Source organism: Homo sapiens, chromosome 5 (assembly GCF_000001405.40).
Source record: "Homo sapiens chromosome 5, GRCh38.p14 Primary Assembly".
Lineage (NCBI taxonomy): Eukaryota > Metazoa > Chordata > Mammalia > Primates > Hominidae > Homo > Homo sapiens.
Window position 1 is genome coordinate 145,480,070 of NC_000005.10, and position 24,136 is coordinate 145,504,205.

General features: G+C 38.6%; 1 protein-coding gene across 2 annotated transcripts in view, besides 1 other annotated feature; it reads right to left on the reverse strand.

Annotated features, from left to right (window-relative positions):
• Nucleotides 1-24,136, reverse strand: part of PRELID2 (PRELI domain containing 2) — a 606,358-nt gene that overhangs the window by 251,085 nt on the left and 331,137 nt on the right. The window lies entirely within an intron of this gene.
• Nucleotides 4,184-4,384: a silencer, noted in NCBI's record as "peak5512 fragment used in MPRA reporter construct". NCBI's record gives its function as "represses an SCP1 promoter by STARR-seq MPRAs in K562 erythroleukemia cells {active_cell/tissue: K562}" and the evidence as "EXISTENCE:reporter gene assay evidence [ECO:0000049][PMID:32103011]".

A 24,136-nucleotide genomic window follows, 5' to 3' on the forward strand; every position in this document is an offset into this window, starting at 1 on the left:
TAGGAATTCCAGAACTTCTATTTTTGAAGCATAAATTCCTAAGTTGCTCAATTTACCCAGTTTGTCAGAACAATTGCCATTAGTAAATATAAATATTTAATGAAAATGAAAACTGTCATAAGCCGCTTCTCTTAAGCATCTAATGACTTACTGGAAGAAATAAAAAATATTAGTGAATTATGTCATTTACTAGTTTCCATCATATAGCAATCACCTGCAGATGTATTTGCTTATTGTACCTTGCTGTGTTTTGGAGTGGGTTTTTGTTGTAATATATTTATTGGGTTGTGGGTTTTTGCTTGCTTATTGGGTAACAAAGAAGTATCAATGATATACAGGGTGTTTCCTAGATATTAACCACGTGCAAAATTTTTTTAAGTTTTCTCAAAACCTTCATTGTGCTATTTGTTCCTGCCAGAATCCACTGTAAATAAAATAATTAAATATGTGTATGTAAGTGTAAAATTACAGTTAAATTACATTTACCCTACATTTTGTGGCTTGAAAAATGCCCTCACATATTTTATTTCATTGATCTTCAATGGAGGATATCATTATTTCCAGTTTACAGATGAATAAAAAGGACTGTTTGACCAAGTGCCAGAACCAAGACTCCACCTAAGACTTTGTTAAGTGATTTTTTCCTCTACTCAAAGCCTCCCTGAGATCTGCTACATTTAAAAAATAAAAAAGAGGAAAATTTGCTTTCATAAAATTTCTGATTTCAACTTGATTTTATTAATTGCCTCTTTCTAATTCAACTCAGACTGCTTGGCAAATAGTAAGTATTCATTAAATGTCAACTATATTATTTTTCTTTCAAAGCGAGGTTACCGAATAGAAATGGAAATGTTTTAAAAGTTAAGTTCTATTTCACTGAGATGCCATTGTATGCTAATTGTTCTCCTTCTAAGGGATGTAACTAGACCTCTTACTCCATGGCTCTAAATTTTTATAGTCAGCCTCTATAATTCTTTGGTCCTGTAAGGCAGAAGTTACATTATTTGAGTGGGGTCAACAGCAGAGGTTTCATATAATTATCGTAAGATAAAAGCCCTACTTTTCACCTAGAGCTTCTATAATCGTGCCAATTAGTATGAATTCCTCTTTCTGGGCCAATGGGAATGTAGTGTAAATTTTTTTCTCATTGGCTTCAAATAGGGCTGCATTACCTTTGGTTTATTTGGTTTGTTTTCAGTAGCTTTTTTCCTACCTTTTTTCTTTTAACTTTTAATTCTTAACTCCTCTCCTCCCACAAAAGAGTGCTTAAAACCTACTTTCAATCCTCTTAGAATCTCCCTGACCCTAGTTGTCCTCAGAATTGAACACAGAGACCCTAAAACAAATATTTTCAATCTATAGAAAAGGTCTTCAATTTTTTTCATTTTGCCTGAAAATATTATTTGATCTTGTTTATGTAGATAAAATGGATTCTAATAATGGTACTCTAGAGAATTGGATCTTCTGGTCCAAATTAGCTGTCCCTCAACCTGTTAAGTCCACTTTGACCAAAAAGGAACAAGTTTCTCTGGGTGATAAGAAAGCAAGGAAATCAAAAAAAAAAAAAAAAAAAAAAAAAAAAAAGAAAGAAAGAAAGAAAGAAAGAAAGGAAATCATAGGCAGAAAGGAAGTACCAATAGAATTAAGTGACTAGAAAGCTTATGCTTGGCTCTGGAATCCTCTCATTTCAACAAACATCAGAATGCCTCATATATACAAAATACTGTCTAGGAAAGGTTTAACTATTCTAAATTGTATAGCACAGTATTTTAGAAATTAAATTCTGTATTGGTTCATTTGTAATAGCTAGTAAAACCTAACTGCAATTAATGAATTTGTTACAGTTGGTATTAGTTTGTTACAACTAAACTGTATTAGTTATTGATGTAACGAACTCCAACACTTCATTCACAATAAAACTTAACTTCTGGCTCACTAAAATCCAAAATCAGAATTCCAGTTCTGCAGGGATTTCTCTTCCACATGGAGATTCAGGGACGTGGACTCCTTTCATTCCGTGGCCCTGTCATCTTTATCACATAACTTCTAAGGTTCATGTAGCTGTTGTGCTATGTGCTTCAAGCCATGAAAGGGGAAAGAACATGTAAGATCCCACACAGAAGGATTTTGTGAGCCAGCAGGGAAGCACCTCATAGTAATCTGTTCCCCATTTGGAATCTTATCACATAGTCACACCTAACAGCAAGGGAGAATGAAAAATGTCTGCTTGTGTATTCAGAAAGGAAAAACAAAACAAAACAGGAAAGAAATCTGTGCTACAAGCTTTAAGGTGAAACAAACTGTCATTTGAATCCTGGCTCCATAATCTTCCTTTGTAAGATGAGGATATAATAATATCTCCATATGGTTGGCTGTGAGGATACATGATATAATAATAACAAACTTCCAACATTTACAGTTATTCTTAAGTGCCAGGTAACAATCCAGCTTTTTCCACATTATCTCACACAGCAGCGGTCCCCAACTTTTTTGGCACCATGAACTGGTTTTCTGGATCACAATTTTTCCACGAACTGGGTTGTTGGGAAGGGGATGGTTTTGGTATGATTCAAGTGCATTACATTCATGGTGTAGTTTATTTCTAATTATTATTACACTGTAAGCTATTATGAAATAATTATACAACTCACCATAATGTAGAATCAGTAGGAGCCCTGAGCTTGTTTTCCTGCAACTAGATGGCCCCATCTGGGGGTGATGGGAGACAGTGACAGATCATCAGGTATTAGATTCTCATAAGACTTATGCAACCTAGATCCCTCACAGGCACAGTTCACAATAGGGTTCGCGCTCCTATGAGAATGTAATGTGCTGCTGATCTGACAGGAGGCAGAGCTCAGGCGGTAATGCGTGAAATGGGGAGCAACTGTAAATACAGATGAAGTTTCGCTGGCTCACCTGCCACTCACCTCCTGCTGTGTGGCCTGCGGGTTGAGGACACCTGTCGAACAGTTTTCACAATTCACCTATAAAATGGGGACTATTATTATCATCTCTATTTTATAGACTGAAGTTGTAGTAGATGAAGTCCAAAAATCGCCCACAATTGTTGATGTCTCCTTGTGTTCACACCCTGTACGATGTGACTTTGCAGCAATGCCCATCAAAATATAGAGTCTGTTTCCCACCTCATGAATCTGGGCTGGCCCTGGGACTTGCTCAAGCAGTAGAATTAGACAAAAGTGACACTCTGACCATTCTGAGCCTACATTACAAATAGCATGTTTCTACTAGCTGTTTTGGATCCCCAGAGCCACCATGTGTGGAAGTGCAGGCTTGCTATGCAGAGGGTGAGGCTATTCTAGACTGCATCATTGTCCTGGCTGACTCATTAGCTCATCACAGACAGACACATGAGCTAGCCACAGTCCTAAGACCAGCCTAGTCTAGTCCAGACCAGAAGAGCCATCCAATCAATCCACAGACTCATGAGCCTAATAAATTCTGCTTTTATCTGCTTTGGCTTGGTTATACAGCATTATTTGTGGTAATAACTGAGGCATAAACTCCAAGAGGTTGTATTACCAACTTAAGACCACACATCCAACAAGTGATAGAGCCAGGAACTAAATCATAATCTATGGAATTGAAAACCTATGTCCTTCAAGACCACACATCCAACAAGTGATAGAGCCAGGAACTAAATCACAATCTACGGAGTTGAAAACCTATGTCCTTACCTATCACAATATGCTAAGATAATTGTCTTAAATCGGCCGAAGTGCTTAACATATAAAAGCCATTAATACTATTCTCTATTATTAAACCCTATAATACAGGGCAAGTGAGTGTTTCCCTTGTCTGTGTCAGTTGCTCACAACTGTTTCTCCAAAATGAGCACTGTACCTGACATATAATAACTCTTCAGTAAAGATTTATTGAATAAATTACTGAAGGTTGGCTACTCAGATAAATCATCAATGAAGCCTGCCCTTGAAGAGCTGAGAGTCTAAAAGAGAAAATCAAATGCAGACATAAATAACGGTAATTTAACATGGGAAGGTTAAGTGCCACAGGCAAGGAATCAGTAGAGCATTCTCGGAATTCAGAGGCAGGAGAAATTACTTACTACAAGGGAGGCAATAAAATATTTCACTGAAGTGATGATGTTTAATTTTATCCTTAGTGCCTGGACTTTGAACATATGGAGACTATGAGGAAGGGGCATTACAGGCACAGGGACACCGTAAGCATCCCATGGGGTAAGAAACAATGCTATGAGCACAAGGAAACAGTGACTTCCATTGGGTTAAAAAATCAATGTAGCCTATTTCATGAGTCAAAGACTTCATGTAAGCAGATCCTCCTACTCTGACTCATAGACTGACTCATAGACAAATTGGCTGTGTTTTGTTCCCTTAGCTCTTCTATTTCTTATTGGTTCATTGATTCCTTATTCATTGATACATTGATTCATTCTTCAACAAATATCATTATGTCTAAGAACACAGGTAGCCTCCATTTACAAATACTAGAAAGGAGAAAGCATTTCATTGGCTCATTTTAAAACAGAGTATAAGATCTTAAAAGGCAAGGACACTTCTACCTTTCTTCACTTCTAAAAGCACCTGTCACATAATGGTACTCAACTGGACACTAAACACACAAATACACACACAAAAAGCTGATTTTAAATTAACTTAAAAGTTAAGAAAAAACTACCTCTTTTAGCCAACAAGGAGTTCACTTAATGTTCATTATCTGTTACTTCTATAAGGTTTTACTGTATTTCCCATTAGAGAAATCTAAATATTAATGAGCATCTTTATGTTCATTGACTGTGCTAGACATCAAGTTCAGGACTTTGTCTGAGATACAATTCTTGCCCTCAAGCAACAGAGAGGAGCTACTACCAGGGGCTCTTCTAGCTTCTGAGGGTACAAAGGTGAATGAGATAGAGAAATTCGTCGTTGTCATAGAGCTTCCAGACCAGAAGGAAGAATACCTGCAACATAGCAATATCCAAACATGCCTATAATAAAGAAATAGCCAATTATAAAATCTTTAAGATAACTTCAAACAGTCATACATGCTACAAGATAATAAAACTAAAATATAACAGAAAGCTCTGGTTTGTCTTTTTAAAATGAATTCAAGAAAGAATTCTGGAAGAACTAATAGTGACACTGAGAAGAGATTGACAAAATAAGTGTCAGCCACAGGACAATCTGAGGACAGGGTTCTAGGCAGTGCAAGTGGCAACTGCCAAGGCCTTAAGTCTGGAATAAATTTGGCTATCACATATGTATATCTGACAATTTAAAGTGAGGTAAGTACTTCCAAGGAACATACAAAGAGATATTGGCATACTACTAGTCAGTGATTCCAGTTCAAAGCTAGCCACAGAACTTGAGATAATCTTACCTAGAGCACATTCAGAATGAGTGCATGTATGTAGAGCGTGTTTGCCTGCTCTGTTAACCACAAGTTACTCTTGGCTGTCAACCATGAATTGGAGGCCATCCTTAACTGGCTTGGCTTCCTCGCTCGCTATCTCTCATGCTTTCAAGTTCTTGGCACTTCTGCGTGCCTGTGCTAAAATGGCAGTCTTAACCGCTGCAACCCACCCATCCATTCCACTCCCACCAACGTCTGTCCCTGACCAGAGACTCCTCAGCACCTGAGTCGTCAGGTAGCAAGCACCCTTTTATCCATAAACATAAGGTACATGCTCATTCTCCTGCCAAATTAAGCTGTTTATGGTTATCACCCAGGGAAGTAATTTGTTGATCAAGACAAATGCAAAGAACTTCATTTAGGAGTTATGTATTAAATGCCTACTGAGATCTTAATTGAAACTTTTATGTTATCCATGAAAAATTATTTATATAGGTCTATCTATCTTCACCTATAATAAGAACACAGGGATGCATGCTTTCATTGTCAGACACATTTCCAACTTTCATACGTACACCTATTAACACAGATATAAAGTTTAAAGTGGAAATAGGAGGACCTATGTTTTTCTGTGAGTTCTCTCATTGTTTTCACCTAGAAATTAGTTTAGGAGCCTATTAAAGCACTGTGCCAAAAAGCCAATGACTTCACTATAGGGGGATAGAGCCAAGTCAAAAGCCAGATTATAACATCTTCCCAGAACCCTAAAATTAGATGTTCATTCTGCTCATTTCCATAAATGTCTGTCATTTTTCTATCACAGCATTTACCACACTTAATTGTTATAGTTTGCATGGGGGTCTATAATTTTCTCATTAGAGTCAGTAAGGATAAGAATCTTACCCAACTTGTTCATCACGTTATCCCCAGTGTCTAGCCAATGTCTGGCATATTTATATTCATAATTTGTTAAATTAATGAATAAATGAGGCTATTCCTCAGAAACACTTTTTCAATGTAAAATAAAATTCATGCAATGAGTCCAGTGCTCTTAAACTCTTCCTGCCAATCACAATTCTGGCCACCACACCCCACAACCTCCATGTAAGAACACCAGTTGTATCTTGGTGCATTTTTCTGTAAGACCGCTCTTGGGGAAAATTCAGTCTGGGCACATGTAGAATGTAAGGTGGCATGTGCTGTCAGTAAGTATTCCATAAAATTAAGGAAATAAGGGATTGAAAAGCAAAGAAAATCATAAGCATCAGTAGAATACATCTTCTACTACCTTAGTCATAGTGGTAGTTTCTACCAGTTGTGATCAAGACTAAGTATATCATGCTGCTATAAAGACACATGCACATGTATGTTTATTGTGGCATTATTCACAATAGCAAAGACTTGGAACCAACCCAAATGTCCAACAATGATAGACTGGATTAAGAAAATGTGGCACATATACACCATGGAATACTATGCAGCCATAAAAAATGATGAGTTCATGTCCTTTGTAGGGACATGGATGAAATTGGAAATCATCATTCTCAGTAAACTATCGCAAGAACAAAAAACCAAACACCGCATATTCTCACTCATAGGTGGGAATTGAACAATGAGATCACATGGACACAGGAAGGGTAATATCACACTCTGGGGACTGTGGTGGGGTGGGGGGAGGGGGGAGGGATAGCACTGGGAGATATACCTAATGCTAGATGATGAGTTAGTGGGTGCAGCGCACCAGCATGGCACATGTATACATATGTAACTAACCTGCACAATGTGCACATGTACCCTAAAACTTAAAGTATAATAATAAAAAAAAAGACTAAGTCGTCAGGGGGCCACAGTCTTTCTTCAGGCCACAGTCCCCAAACAGAGCATACGGGATTTCCACTGTATTCGGGAGAGTTATGAAGTGTATAGAACTCTGTAAAGTTGTAAAGGTGGAAACTATCTGATCCCAGGGGCACTACTCACTTTGTAGATGTCATAGATTTCTGTATCCATTAGGACAATTTTAATACTGATGCGAGTAGTATCTTCCTCCAATAAAATCAGCATAGAATGTCAATTTTCCAGTAGATAGAAGTATATAACTTGAGGAAGGGTTGGCTGGAGGGGTTCCTACCAGGACAGCTGATCTCAGATGATGAGTTGGAGAGGGTCATGTCTATGCTTCAGGACAGTCCATCTTCTAATTTCCCTTCACATCACATCCTAGAACAGGAAACTCCCTTTGTCCTTCCAGCTTTGAAGATTTTTCATTCCATTTCTCTGTCTTCCCCCATTTTTTAGAGATGGAGGAAGGAAGGGTATCAGGTTTAGTAAGCTAATAGAAATAGGATTTTAAAACTATTTTTGTTTTTTTTTTCTTTTCCAACAGCAGACATAAAAATCAAGAAATGGAATTGGAGGCCGGGCGCGTGGCTCATGCCTGTAATCCCAGGACTTTGGGAGGCTGAGGTGGGTGGATCATGAGGTCAGGAGATCGAGACCATCCTGGCTAACAGGGTGAAAACTCATCTCTACTAAAAATACAAAAAATTAGCCGGGCGTGATGGTGCATACCTGTAGACCCAGCTACTTAAGAGGCTGAGGCAGGAGAATCGCTTGAACCCGGGAGGGAGAGGTTGCAGTGAGCCGAGATCACACCACTGCACTCCAGCCTGGGCAACAGAGCGAGACTCTGTCTCAAAAAAAAAAAAAAAAAAGGAATTGGAAAAACAAAACTAAACCCACCTTTCCATCCTTTCTGTTCTGATTTGGAGACGGGGTGCTGGGAAGACTGGAAAGTTCAAGATGCTAGTGAGCTAGTGACTATTTCTCCACCATATGGAGAAGATCTGTCTGCAGTAGGAAAGAATTAAGATTATCAGATACATGCAAAGGGAAAGCCTGATGGAGAGAAAGATTGACCTGGCAGTGTTGACTGCAAGGCCCTCACTCCTGCAGCAACTCCGTGGAATTTGAGGGCCACTCCCGTGTTTTTCCCACCGGCATAAACTAGTCAATTTACTGTTTTTGTTTAGTTCAGTTAGAGTTGGGTTTCTGTCACTTATAAACCCAAAGACTCCTGATTAATTTGATAATCATAACAACTTCCTATTATGAGGATTAAGATAGAAAAAAAGAAGCCACAATTATTCATAAAAATCAAATAAAAACAAGACCCTAATTCAATAAATTTACAATTTGTCCATTCTCTGGCATTCAGTATTACGTAAGTAATATATTTATGCACATTGTGTAATCTGCTTGGTGGGTTTAGCACAAGTCCTAGCACATAGTAAACACTGAATAAATACTAGGTAGTAATAGTTTTTAAGCCTCTATACAATCGAGTTCATGGCCTCTTACGACCTAGTAGTTTTTTATTCACACATTTATGACAGTTGGTATAAAGGACATTTTTTGTTGTTTTTATTTTGGGGAGTTAGGAAACCTGTTTGTTTTCAGAATTTTTAGGCTGTGAGTGTCCATTTACCATTTCTAATACAGTCCTGATTTCCTTTTGGTAACAACATTGTTAAAAGAGGTAGCATGTGACCCAGGGGCGACTAGTTTGACATGCATTCATACCAGGAATTTGAATCTCAAAAATAAAGAGGAAAAGAGAGTTCAAAAAAGATGGAGCCTAGCAATTCAGCTACAGTACCCTATCTATGAGTGATGGCATCATTCCCCCAGACTATCCTGGTTTCTTCCAATTCCCAAGCCTGGCTCGCCAGCCATCCATTGAATATGTATACCATGAATATCCTTTCTATAAATTCCTTTTGGCTTTAATTGGCCAGAGTCAGTTTATCTTAATTTCAACTAAAGGATTCCACCGGATAAACGAAGCATCATCATTAGCTATTTGATTCAGCTTTCAATAACAAATAACTTCAGTGTTTCCAATTAGCCTCCAATAACAGCAAACTTTATCCATTTTAGTGATAGTAATACTGTTAATATTAAAAATAGTTGTATTTGTGTATTTTACATGCATGATCTTATGTAAGATTCCTGACAACTTAAATAGTTGGGTACTAAGTTTGTCTCCATTATACAGATGAGGGAACTGAGGCTGTCTGAATTCAAGGAACTTTCCAAGAGCCACAATCAGTACCTGGTAGAAACGAAATTGTCATCTTATATCCAGCATTCTTTCCCTGTAACAACAAAGCCCTTTCTCTTAGAACTGAGCCACCCACTATTGCCTACTAGCTTAAAAGCGAGCAGGGATCATAATACAAAATCACCTGTACCTTCAGTGTTGGTATGCCATGATTATTCCTCATAATCACCAGGTTACCAGGCAACAAGCTGTAAGATGAATAGCACATTGGGAAGATAAAATGATTGGAGGGAGAATTAACTGATCTCTTTTATCTTCAGAATTATGCCTCAGACTTTGCTCTCTGTCGTTAGCTTTCTTTCAGTCATGAAATACATACATTTATTTTTTCCAAAACCTTAAAAGATTATATTTCCACCAAAAAAATTATCCATTATTTCAATGGCATCAAAACTTGCTATATAAAGAACGACTTTGCATAAATTTGATGTGAATTCTTATATTGAAAGATTAGTTTGAATTTTTGCAGATGATACATCTGTGCTATCTTACCCCAATTTCTTTCTCAGTATTTCTTAAAAGATGTTGCTTAAAATAAAATCAACTGAGCTATCATCACACCTCCATATAGAAGACATAGAAATTTTGTATGATTTGATTGATAAATCAGCTTGTTAATATTCATTTAAAAGCTCTTTTACCTGGATCTTATTTCTTTCTTTGTGCGCTTATCTAGACTTTTTAAAATTTCCTTTTTTGTACTCTTGCATTTTAAGTCCCAGAAGCTCAGTCTATTTAAAAATGCTTTGTCCACACTTTCTCTTGTACCTGAAACTGAACACACAAACACACCTGTGTACACACATATTGCCCTGTCTAAAACCTCATCCGCTTATTTTAGAATTTATATTATGGATGTATTGATTACTTCTTCTCAAGCTCTCTTGAAACTAATATATGTTGTAGAAGAAACACCATTGTGGAAAAGAGCACAAAAGGAAAAGAAGAAAAGAACCACTACTTGGAATATGTAGTAACAGTAATCAGTTAAGTATGAATCATATCCATTCTAAGGCAGTTGAAAAAATGTGTGTAAATGCTAAAGGGAAACATAAACAGTACTTTAAGCAAATGTATAGATGAAAATATCAGGCAATTATAAACAATTATAAATTTATCATAAGTTTTCAATTCTCATCTGTTGTTTTGTTTCACCTATACAGTGTTTAAATTTAATTAAACCTAAAGAAAATAAAACAGGATAAATTACTTTAAAATTTGAAAATTCAGTTTCTCTTGAAAACAGAAAGATCTGGTATTATTTGACACGAATTCTCCATGACAACGACTAACTAAAGCTGAATAGATGCTTCCTTTGGTATACGGGACAGTTTCCACAGTCCCCACCCCCCCATCAAACCCCTAATCTAACCTACTTCATTCATTCCCCTTACTTGCCTGGTCCCTATAAGCATGAGATTTTTCTGCTCCTACCAACACCTGTCTTCAAAACTTCTTCTGTATCTCCTATATTTTGAAATCTTGATGACAGCTTTTTTTTTTAACAATTACAATTTAATGTATTAAACTGATAAGACTTAGGTTAAAATGAATCTATAACCAAAAAGACCATGCACAATAAATTCTCAGTATTTTATTTTTAATATATTTCTTAACATATTAAAAACAAGAATTTACTTCTTATAGTTCTGGGGGCTGGAAAGTCCAAGATCAAGGTGCAAACAGATTTGGTGCCTGGTAAGGCTATGCTTTCTCATAGATGGTGTGTTCTGTCTCCACTCTCACATGGTGGAAGGGCCAAGGAGCTCCCTTGGGCCTCTTATATCAGGGCACTAGTCCCAGTCAGGAGGGCTCTGCCTTCATGACTAATCACTTCTGAAAGGCTCTGCCCCTTTATTCCCTTAATTTATATGTTTTAATTGACAGATGAAATTGTATTTACTGTGTACAAATATTTTGAAGTATATGAACATTGTGGAATGACTAAATCTAGCTAATTAACATATGCATTACCTTACATAGTTATCATTTTTGTGGTAACACTTAACATACACTCTCTTAGTGCTTTTCAAGAATATAATATATACAATATATTATTAACTATAGTTATCATATTGTACAATAGATCTCTTAAACATATTTCTCCTATCTAACTGAAATTTTGTATCATTTGACAAATATCTCTGTAACCCCCCCAGTACCCCCTGACCCTGGTAACCACTATTCTATTTTCTACTTCTATGAGATCAACATTTTTAGATTCTCATATAATGAGATCATGTGGTATTTGTCTTTCTGTGTTTGGCTTATTTCACTTAATGTAATGTTCTCCAGGTTCATCCATGTTGTCACAATGACAGGCTTTCTTTCTTTTTAAGGCTGAATAGTACTCCAGTTTGTATATATACCACATTCCTTTACCCGTTCATCTGTTGATGGACCCTTAGGTTGATTCCATGTTTGGCTATTGTGAATAGTGCTGTAATGAACATGGGAGTGCAGATATCATTTGACATACTGATTTCCCTTCCTTTGGATCCCAGTAGTGGAATTGCTGGATCTTATAGTAGTTCTATTTTTAATTTTTTGAGAAACCGCCATACTATTTCCATAATGACTGGACTAATTTACATTGCCACCAACAGTGTGCAAGGGTTTCCTTTTCTCCACATTATCTCCAACACTTGTTATCTTTTGTCGCTTTGATACAAGATGTGAGGTGGTATCTCATTGTAGTTTTGATTTGCAATCCCCTGATGATTAGTCATGTTGAGAATTTTTTCATATATACCTGTTGGCCATTTATATGTCTTCTTTTGCAAAATGTCTATTCAGGTCCTTTGCAAAATTTTTAATCGAGTCATTTTGTTTTCTTGCTAATAAATTCCTTATATATTTTGGATATTGACCCCTTATCAGATGTATAGTTTGCAAATATTTTCTCCATTCTGTAGGTTATCTCTTCATTCTGTTGGTTGTTACCTTTGTTTTATAGCAGCTTTTTAGTATGATATAATCCCATTTGTCTATTTTTGTTTTTATTACTTGTGCTTTTGAGGTTATATCCAAAAATTCATTGCCTAGGTCAATGTCATAGAGCTTTTTCACTATGTTTTCTTCTAAAGTTTCACAGTTTTGAGTCTTACATTTAGGTCTTTAATCCATTTTGAGTTGATTTCTGAATATAGTGTGAGATAGGGTTCAGAAGTCTGGGCTGCTGGAGGGCTGCCTATAGCTAAGGGCTGTCCAGAATCTAGGGCTGCTGTTGTCGGCCCAGAAGTGGTGCAGGCCAGAGATTGAGTCCACCACACAAGGCTGAAGCCTTAGGGTTATATGGTCCCACCTGGCACCAGGGTCAGTCTAGAGGCTCAATCCATGGATACTGGTCTGTAGTTTGGACTGTGGGGATCTGCCTGGTGCTGGGTGGTAAGCCCAGTGTTGGGGTAAAAGTCAATGTTCTGTATTCACTTCCCTCTCTTTGCCCCAAGCTGATGGTATCTCTCTCAGCCACTATGCTGCTTAGGTTTGGGGAGGGGTGTCTTGGGTAATATAAAATTGTTCTTCGGACCCTCTTCCATGTGCCTTTTATTGGGCTACAGCCACATTTTCATAGCTCTTGTGAAGGTATTTTCATATGTGGGTAGTTGTTCAAATTGATATTTCTATGGTGGGATGAGCCCTGGAGAGTTCTACTCCACCATCTTGCTCCCAGATTGTCCCTGAAGTCAGCTTTAATACTCCCTTCTCCCTCGCTGCCTATGTCCAGATGATCATCAGATCATTTCAGGCCCACATCTAAAACAAATCCCTATTTCTGTCCTTCCTTTATCTCCAAAGTCCCCATCCAGTTTTTTCACTTTGCTCATCTAAATGGCTTTCACAGACCACCAACTAAACGTGATTTTCAGGTTTCCCTGCAACCTCTGATCTATTGCTTCAGTGTCCTGATTGTGTCATTCTCTTGCCTAAAATTGTGCTTCCACCATTGCTTATGATAAACACTGTAGCATGGCTTTTAAAATCTTACATGGTCTTCCTACCTGTACCCCCAATTCATCTGTCAGCTCTCACCTCCCAAGTCTCTGCTCCCATCACTCTGCTCCAGCTGTGTGAATGAGTCATCCCTCCTTGCTCAAGCTACTCTACCTGCTCTCGCTACCTGAAAAGTCTATCTTTTTCTTTCCTTCTCCGCCTCTTCCACTTCCTCTCTTTTCCTTTTCCTTCCCCACCAGACAAAATCGTTATTCCTTCCTAGAATATCATATCCATGATGAGGCTTCTCCTAAAATCCCAAGCTGGAAGTATTTCTTCTTCTGGAAGTATTTCTGCTTTTGTATTCCCACAGTTCTTAGCTTTTATATTTTTAAATGACTCTTAAGAATTTCCTTGCACTTAAACTATATGTCAGATGCTTTCATTGGAGTGTAAATTCCTTGAGGCTAGGCACCATATCATAACATGTTTTAATTCTTTTAAAACTTCGTAAGTCGCTTGTTCACAGTGATAATAGATTCCTGAACATTTACTTAGATTCACACACTGTGCATAACATTTTACAAGCATATCTCATTTGTCCTTCACAAAGCTCAGGGTCTCTTATTTTACAGAAAAGGAAAATGAGGCTTTGAGATGTCTATTAACTAGCAAAATGTCCTAACATTAGCAGATGGCAGAACAAAGATTGAAAATCAGATTTTCCTAATCCAAAGACTATGCCCACTAAACTATATTCTGTGCTATGCTGAAAAAGAATTAGTTCATTTAAATATAAATATAACTTTGACCAAAGTGTCAAATAGGCACTAAACAAGTGTGAAAATAGGCACAAATCAGTATTCAGTCTTGAAAAAATACTTCTTTGAAATATTTTCCGTATGTTGGACAATTTTCTAACTGAAAGCAATATAGGATTAATAAAACGTTTCAACTTTAAGGTCAACATTTATGTCATAGCTAGTTAATTGGTAGCTTAAATGAAAAGCCATCCTATAGATGCAAATCTTGACAAGATCACACATTTAAGTTAATGGTAACTGACATGTCATATCCAAGTAATAAGGGAGTTCCCTCATCAAGTCTCCAGAGGTCATTAAAGAAAAGATCTTGTAACAGGTTAAAAAAAATAAAAGAGAGAGAATAGAACATTTTAAGTATATATTCTTATTAAAGATATTGACAACAAATGGATATGTATTATGTACCATGAGAAGAAAAGAATATTAGATCTTACTTGAGACAATTCAAATTAATTTCCTTGGGGAAATAATGAAATCTAAAGCTGCAAATCTCATTGAATAGATAAGAGAATGAGAAAATGGGAGATAACTTGTTTAGGGGCAAAAATCTAGTCACATTTTAAGCTCAGCCTAAAATGCAAGTTTTACGATTCCTAATTCAGATGTCATGCTGCTGTTCCTCTCTGATATTCTTATATGTTAAGTGTGCCAATGACAATATGTCTTCAGCAGTAGAAAAAGATGTGATGTAAGCTGTTTGCATTTTTTAAGTGATGAAGGTAGCTATCAAATCATTCACAGAAGTGGTCTATGCTCACTGTCTCTCGTTTCCTTCCTCCCACTATCTCCTTAACTCATTTCAATCAAATGTTCGCCTCCACCATGCCACCAAAGCCATGTTGCTCAATCCAGTAGTCATTTCTCACTTCTCAACTAACCTGGCCTCTCTGTACTTATGGGCACAGTCTCTCAGCATCACCATTATCAGGCACTCTGCCCCTGCCTCTTCCGGCAGGCTGGACATTGAAGATCAGGCTGGTATGCAAGAGAATGATGCAAGGATATAACACAGTGTGAATTGAGCATCAGCAGAATCTGCTAGAACTATTTTTGGATGGAATCATTTAGGCAAAAGGCAACAGAATTTTGCATTTAGTCAATCCAAGCTTTCTTCCAACACAAAATTGTTCCAAGACTAACATCTCTAACTTGGTCTCATCTTGGCATTAAATAACCTAAGTGCTAAACCCCTTTTCTTTTTGGCTTCCCTCAAGGAAACAATTCCATCATGAATACACCCAGCCTGACTTTCAGAATTTAAAAATGTTTCATATTAGTCTCCTAGATTTTCACTTACATCTTAGAAGATTCTTTAGAAATTCTCACAGCCCTAGTTTCCTCAGCTAGAAAACAGGGATAATGTTAGCATGTCTTTCATATAACTGTTGTGAAGATTATATACAGTGATTTATATAAAGCATTTAGCTTAATGCATTAATAATGCTAGATTTAATTGTACTCATTAGACTTTGCTGGGATGGTAGGTTAGTTATCTCTTTTAAGGTAGTACGTGTTCTTTAAAGCTCTAAACTCTTCAATTCCCCTGGGTTTTGCACCAGTTCTTTGCTCTACCTCATTGAATAAAAATTGTCTGTGTCCATTAGCTTAGCTCAGAGTGTGAGTCACCGGAGAATGAGTCAGGTGTTCCATTACCATGTGCCCTTTATATAATGCTAAGTTCCTTCACAGCTTTAGCTCAGATACCAGTCAATCTCACAAAAGTTTGTCTGTCTCAAGGGCTAAGAAATATTCTTTATTATATACTATAGTAATACTATGTGCTATTCTTAGAAATTAGAAGCATGAAAAAAGACAGACAAAAATCTACCTTTATGTCTTTATAGGAGCTTACATGCATATAGAGAAGAAAGACAATTAAAAACACAAATAAGGACAATATACAAATTTGACTCGTGTTCTGGCTCTATTTTAGACTTGTTAAATTTGAAGTGCCCACTAGACATCCAAATAGGCAGTTAGATATCTGAACTGATGAGCAGAAGTGGCTAAAGAGCTCAGAGGCAAAGTCTGGACAAGAGATATAAACTTGTAGGTCACAAATATATACATAACATTGAAAGCTACCACAGTAGTAGGAAAATTAGGAGGTAAGTATATACAGAAAAAAAGAGATAACCTGGGAAATCCAATACTTGGAGATCTGAAAGTAAGAGATAAACCAGCAAAAGGAACCAAGAGGGATTGGCCAGCAAGTTAGGAGGAAAAACATGTTGCCAGTCAAGGACAAGCTTTGCCTGGACTACACCCAGCCAATGATTGGGCATGGTCAAGGCTCCACTTGTGACCACCAATCATCCTGCCTGAATAGCCTACTCTTGCTTGAAGACTCTCCATTGGTCTAGCTGAGATTTTCTCTGAACTGTGCTATGGTCTGAGGTTTCTCCTTCCTTTCTCCTTTCACAAGTGCCAAACCTACCTCGTGGTCTGAAAGTTCTTTCTTCCTACTCCTGTTCACTCCCCCTTGGTCCTTCATAGGTGTTGGCCTGTCTTGGTGTCTGCTTTTCATGCTTTTCAGACCAGACCCAATAATTTGGTTTTGTTCGTTTTTTTTAGAGTCAGGGCCTCACTCTGTTGCCTGAGCTGGAGTACAGTGGCATGACCATGGCTCACTGTAGCCTCAAATTCCTGGCCTCAAGTGATCCTCCCACCTCAGCCTCCTGAGTAGCTAGGACTACAGGTGTGTGCCACCATGCTCAGTTATTTGTTTTTAATTTTTATACATACAGGGTCTCGCTACATTGCACAGGCTGGTCTAAAACTCCTGGCCTCAAGTGATCCTCCCACCTCAACCTCCCAAAGCTCTGGGATTACAGGCATGAGCCACCATGCCCAGCTCAGTCTAGGATAATTTGAAGGCTTGTGTTTTGCATTATGTTTTAGAGATTTCCCAGGGGATTCCGTTCCAGTCATCCACTGTGCTTTTGTAGTACAGTATTGCTGGGTCATGATCTTTTCAAAATATAAATCAGATATGACTTTCCAGCTTGAAATCCTCATAGTAGGAAAAAAATGCAAGAACTACCACATGTAACGTTATGGCTATATGTCTTTATTAATGATCTCTTCCCTTTTCTGTATCCTTCCCCCTTAACTACCCATTTCCTTTGTGCCTTCCAATAAACTTCTTGCATTTAAAACTTTGTCTCTGGGGAAATTTCTACTAAGATATTACAGAAAGAATAATGATCAAAATGTTTACAGTGTTTTTCAGCAGTAACTTAGGAGTGTTATTGTTTTCAGGGTTCCAGGTAAGTAGAAACGCCTGCATACTAGCTATTAGACAAGTAAGTGGAAATTTCTAATGGCCACCGATCCACATAGCCATAAAGTTGCCTGTGCTCACTCAAGTAGTTTCGGAGATTTCCATGTTTCCAATCCCAGGAGCCATTGGAACAACAGATGGCTAAAATATTTTGAGGTTTATTTACCTGCAGAGACTGTGCAGTTAATGAAAAAAAGGTTAGCAAGTGAACCTAATGCTGGAGTGCACATCTGGATGGAAGCTTTGGACAGCTGGGCATGGATCAATTCTGTTGTCAAAGAATTGAGGATTGTTGTAACTTTCCCACAAGGCATCTGTGGAAGTCCCCTGTTTCTAAAAGTTTTGGCCCTAGCCTTAGACCCTGTGCTCTTGTTTGTCAACACTTGCCCTTCACTAATACTCTCAATCCACTGTTAGGTTAAACTAGGATTCAAAAGCCTCCCTCTGTGGGCACCACTGATAACTCTCTAAGACCCTGAGTTTTAATCAGCTCTTCATAATCCAGCCATGCATTCTCTAGAGAGAGAAACTTTCTCATACCACCCAGCTTCATCTTGGGTCCCTTGTTAAACTATAAAATAATTTAAAACAAGGTAAAAAAAAACTAAATTAGGAAGCTAAATCTTCTTAAGAACTCAGCAATTCTACTTCTAAGAATTTATGTAAAGACAATAGAATCAAGGAAGGTCAATATTATTTGTACAGCAAGAAAGGGCAACATAAATGCTTAAAAATATGATATATGTTAACTGAATTATTATATAGCCAAATGATTAAAATTCTACACAGTCAAGCATGGTGGCGTGCATCTGCAGTCCCAGCTACCCTGGAGGCTGTGGCAAAAGGATCACCTGATTCCAGGAGTTTGAATCCAGTTTGGACAATGCAGTGAGAACTTGTCTCTCTCTGTTTTTTGTTTGTTTGTTTGCTTTGTTTTGTTGTTGTTGTTGTTGTTTTGAGACAAAGTCTCACTCTGTTGCCTAGGATGGAGTTCAGTGGCACAATCTCAGCTCACTGTAACCTCCGCCTCCCGGTTCAAGCGATTCTCCTGCCTCAGCCTCCTGAGTAGCTGGGACTAGAGGCATGCACCACCATGCCCAGCTATGGTATTTTTGTTTTTTGTTTTGTTTTGTTTTTTGTATTTTTAGTAGAGATAAGGTTTCACCATGTTGGCCAAACTCCTGACCTCAAGTGATCTGCTGGTCTCAAGCTCCTGACCTCAAGTGATCTCCCTGCCTCGGCCTCCCAAAGTGCTGAGATTACAGGTATGAGCCACCACACCCGGCCTGAGAACTTGTCTCTTAAAAAAACAAAAATGAGAAAAAAATACTACACCATTACTGAAAACATGAAATAATATTCATGATATACTACTGAGTTAAAAAAAAGACAAAATATAAATAGAATTCTAAGGAAAATATCTTTTAAAGTATATTATATAGAGGCCAGGAGTTTGAGACCAGCCTGGGCAACATAGCAAGACTCCATCACTAGGAAAAGCTAAAAAATTAGCCGGGTGTGGTGGTGTTACCTTGTAGTTCTAGCTACTTGGGAGGCTAAGGTGGAAGGATCTCTTGAGCCCAGGAGGCTGAGGATGCAGTGACCTATGATCATGCTACTGCACTCCAGCCTAGACAACAGAGTGAGACTCCATCTCGTAAAATAAATTAAATGTTAAAAGCATATTATATAGTTATATATCTGCATGTTTATTTCTGCATATGGAGAAAGAAAAGACTAGAAGGATATCACAAATAGTTATTTCTAAGTTGTAGAACTCTTAGTGATTTTCCTCTCTATCTTTTTCTGAAGTTCTCAATTTTTTGATGATGAATATGATTCTTTCAACATAAGGCAGTAAAAATGGGCAAATACTAGTTTAAGAGAAGAGAAAGAAATTCTCAATGTGCTCCAAAGACAACTGACATGACTTTGATCTGGATGGGGTGGGGTGGGGCCTGGAGCCAGGGGTCAGGCATCTATGCCAGAGAAGCCGAAGGAGAGAGGTTTCATTAGCATTTCCTTTCTGTGTCCTGACATCTGCAGGGCCTGAGGGAAGCTGTGGTTACTCTGCCCAGCGATAGAAGAATTTGTGACAGATGCAAGGGATCATCAAGTACCTTCTGTGTTCTAGGAGAAACAAATCTGCTAAAGGGAGCTGATGTAAACCCCTGACCCCGAAATGAAAGGACAGCAGAGAAAGATTCCAGTCAGCTCTGCTGCCACGTTCTTCAGAATGAATGAGATTAATTCTTTTAAAGTCATATAAACAAAGGCTTTGTGCTGTTACTCCACAAACAAATGTGAAATTCCAGAAGCTGAGCTTTGCGCACACCTACCTGTAAACCCCACACTTGGCTTTAATCTTGGATTAAGAGCTGTCAGGCTTGGTGCTTTGAGCTAGTCATTTAACCTCCTGGTGCTTTCCAGTGTGATGTTTGGAAAAGTCCAGCAATTATTCTGCCCTTGCTGTTGGAGAAGTTGTGTCGCAAGGTGGGAACATAGCTGCAAAATGTAGAACTGTCTGATATGGTCTGGATCTGTGTCCCCACCAAAATCTCATATGGAATTATAATGCCCAGTGTTGGAGGAGGGGCCTGGTGGGAGGTGATTGGATCATGGGGATGAATTTCCCCTTGCTATTCTCATGATAGTGAGTGTGTTCTCATTAGACCTGGTTGTTTAAAAGTGTGTAGCACCTCCCCCTTCACTTTCATCCTTCTTCTCTGGCCATGTAAGACGTGCCTCCTTCCCCTTTGCCTTCCACCGTGATTGTAAGTTTCCTGAGGCCTCCCCGGAAGCAGAAGCCTGTATAGCCTGTAGAAAGTGAGCCAATTAAACCTCTTTATCACTTACCCAGTTTCAAGTATTTCTTTATAGCAGTGTGAGAATGGACTAATACATTGTCTCAGGCCTAGTCAACTTTCTGAGCTCTGTAAGAAAGGGCTTTCTCCAGAAAAAAAATCTGAGCTGACATTCATCAGCCCACAGAACTATGGAGAGCTTTTGACCCAAGGGTCAGTTAAGGTTTTTGGTTGCAAGTAACAGAAATTGATTTTGGTTAATTTAAGATAAGCATGATGCGTTGGAAAATTACCAGTGTAGGAAAGAGAGGGAAGAGTAGCTTGGGCACGAGGCATCAAAAGAAGCATGGATTGTGTTAAGTTTAGAAGTCCAAGAAGGATGGCAACTACCTTGTAGCTAGGACAGCTATCAGGTGAGACTAATTTCACTGCTGCTGCTGATGCCACCACCACTGCTGCTGCAATAAATCATCTCTAACATTCCCTCTTGTCCTTGGGTCATTCGCTCAAGTTACAATGCTCCGGGTGACCAAGCATAGATCATGTGCCTGTCTGATGATTTTATGACTGCAAGCAGAGGGAGGACCTGGCCTCCTGGAAGCTGCAGTGCAAAGTGCTTTCCTGGAATTACCCTTCCAATAGTCCCAATTATGGTGACGGAAAGGTAATTCCCCTTAATCTGGGCATGTCTCTTTCTCACAATATAGAAAGCCAAACTCATAGTCCAGGCCACCCCACCATCAATTCAACTGAAGAAGGAAATATTGTGACAAAAATCAATGTTGTGTTAAAATCTGGTTCACGGAATTCTGACCTCAACTAGCTTTTCTGGTCTTATTTCATTACTGTCCTATAAAACCCAGACTACTTGCAACAGTATGTCCTAAAGACAATAGTTCCACTCTGCTACTTGATTTAAAAGGTGTCCCTTGCCCAGAACACAACACCTCTACTAACTTTTACTGTGTATCAAAATCTGTCTATTCTGTAGGGGCTTGATATGGTTTGGCTGTGTCCCCACCCAAATCTCATCTTGAATTGTAGATCCCATAATTCTCATGTGTTGTGGGAGAGACCCGGTGGGAGGTAATTGAATCATGTGGGCAGTTTCCCCCATACTGTTCTTGTGGTGTGAATAAGTCTCATGAGAGCTGATGGTTTTATAAGGGGAAACCCCTTTCACTTGGTTCTCATTCTCTCTTGCTGCCTCCAGGTATGAAATATCTTTTGCCTTCCACCATGACTGTGAGTCCTCCCCAGCCATGTGGAACAGTGAATCCATTAAACCTCTTTTTCTTTATAAATTACCCAGTCTCGGTTATGTATCAGCAGCATGAAAACAGACTAATACAGACCTAATTCATAAGTGTCACCTCTGTGACATTTTCCTTGGCCATCCCTGTTGGAGCAGCTCTCTGCCTCTTCTGAACTCCCATGAGATTCTATGTCCATAACCCTCTGAAGGCCATGACTCAGTGGTTCACCTCCAGAGTGATGCTACTTTGGAAAAATATTCCTTTTGTCCTCTATGTATTGCTGATTCTGCGTCTGTATTAATCTCTCTCACTCTCTCTTTCTTTCTCTCTCTCACACACACCCCTAGAAACTGTCTAGCAGAGGCAGACTTTCCAGGGGATGTTTATTAGTTCATTCTCACACTGCTATAAAAAACTACCTGAGACTGAGTAATTTATAAAGAAAAGAGGTTTAATTGGCTCACAGTTCTGCAGGCTCTACAGGAAGCATAATGGCATCTGCATCTGGGGAGGCCTCAGGGAACATACAGTCACAGTGAAAGACAAAGGGGAAATGGCACTTCACATGGCTGGAGCAGGAGGAAGAGAGAGAGAGAGGAGAGGTGCTACCTACTTTTGAACAACCAGATCTCATGATAACTCACTCCCTATCATGAGAACAGCACTGAGAGAATTGTGCTAACCCATTCATGATAAACCACCCTCATAATCTAATCACCTTCTACCAGGCCCCACCTCCAACACGAGGGATTACAATTGAATATGAGATTTGAGTGGGGACACAGATCCAATCTGTATTAAGATGAAAGGACAGAAATTAAGGTAGAGATAACAGAAGCTATATGAAAGGGGAGGAGGTGTTATAATGATGGCCAGGTTAATAAATTTTGTCTGCCACATTTCCATTACTCATATGGAAAATTACTTTGAATTAAAATTATTTGTATACATGCATTTTCTTCCCAACTGAATGTTGAGATCTTTGAGGGCAGAGACCACGTCTCATTCATCTCTTTTGCCCTCGGAGCTTAGCCCAGTACCTGATACATAGCAACCACTCAATATGCATATAATGAATTAATGAGCACATTAATTAGTTAATTAATTACAGGCCTCCAGTAGCCATGGCTATGCTGCCCAATAGTTATGCAAGAAAGCAAATTAATGATTTCCTAGCTCTTGATCCCCAGAAGTTTTTTTTTTTTTCTGCCGTGTCTGTATAGATATCACTAATAAGGACTTCAAATAAATGAGGGCTATCTGAAAGATAGGCTGACTACTAGGATCCCAAAACCCATTTTCATCTTTCACTGAAAGAAGGGCAGCTATGAACCACACAGCATACACTTTTTAACAATGAGATTTAATTTCCTTGCCTCTGGCAGTAGCTTTTAGAAGCAATGGAGTGGATGGCTGGGAGAGTATTCACAGGGGGTGGAGGCCTGGGGTCATCAAAGCTGGGAGATTAGTGATAGCAGGGCCCTTGTCAGAAGATGTACCACAGAACCTAACTCTCCCATCCCCTAGGGTCTGAAAGCTCCATGAGGAGTGATCATAACTATTTCATCGCTGTGGTTCTGTCTACTTTGCAAAGTTCATGAGCTATTCTAATCCTCTGAGCAACTGTAAGACTCTCTTTCCTACCCCATGTCTCCACACCTCATCCACTTAATTCCACAGTTTAAAGCCACATAGAGTGAAAGAGTACACACTAAAACAATGGTGATAAAATTAAGAGAAAAACAAATATTTGGACCACAGAACGTGATATCAGTGTTCAGACGTTTAAAACAATAGTCATGATAATACGAGCTCACATTTATTAAGCTCCTACTAGATATCAGTCATTTTCTACGCATTTCCTCCTCCAAACTGCCCTATGAAAAAAATCACTATTATCATTTTCATTTTACAGATGAGAAAACTAAGGTATAGAGAGGTTAAGAGGCTTGACGAAGATAAAAGCACAATGGGCTACTGTGTGACCCCAGGAGTTTGCTGGTCCTGTGCATTGAATCATCATATTAATTGTTTCCATGATCAAATCAAATTAGGAAATCATTATCTAAACAACAGTTCTTTAGTACAGGACTTTGCAGCTTTTAATATGCTGGTTTGCATTGGGATTCTGTGAGAGTTGTTTTCTAAACTCATTCGATCATGAATCATTTGTGTTACTTTGGGAAATATACCATAGGTTTACCCTTTATCTTGAATTCAAAGTCTCTGGAAAGCTATTTGATGCTTCTAAAGAAGGAACTGGGAACCTCACAGCACATTGTGAAAAGTAAGAAAAATTACCTTCCATTTACACTGGACCAGGCTCTGTAGTAAGTTCTTATTCCCATATGTAAAATGAAGAAACTGAGGCTCAAAGAGGCTTGCCCAATTTGCCCAAGTGCTGGAGTCAGAATTAAAATTCAGCCAGGCTGACCTCAGAAGCAACACTTTAAAGTGCTAGACTATAATGCCACTCAGACTGGTGAGCAACCAAGAATCTCTGAGCAGCAGCACATGACCATGGAACAGCACAAGCTAGCAGGGCAGTGCCTGGC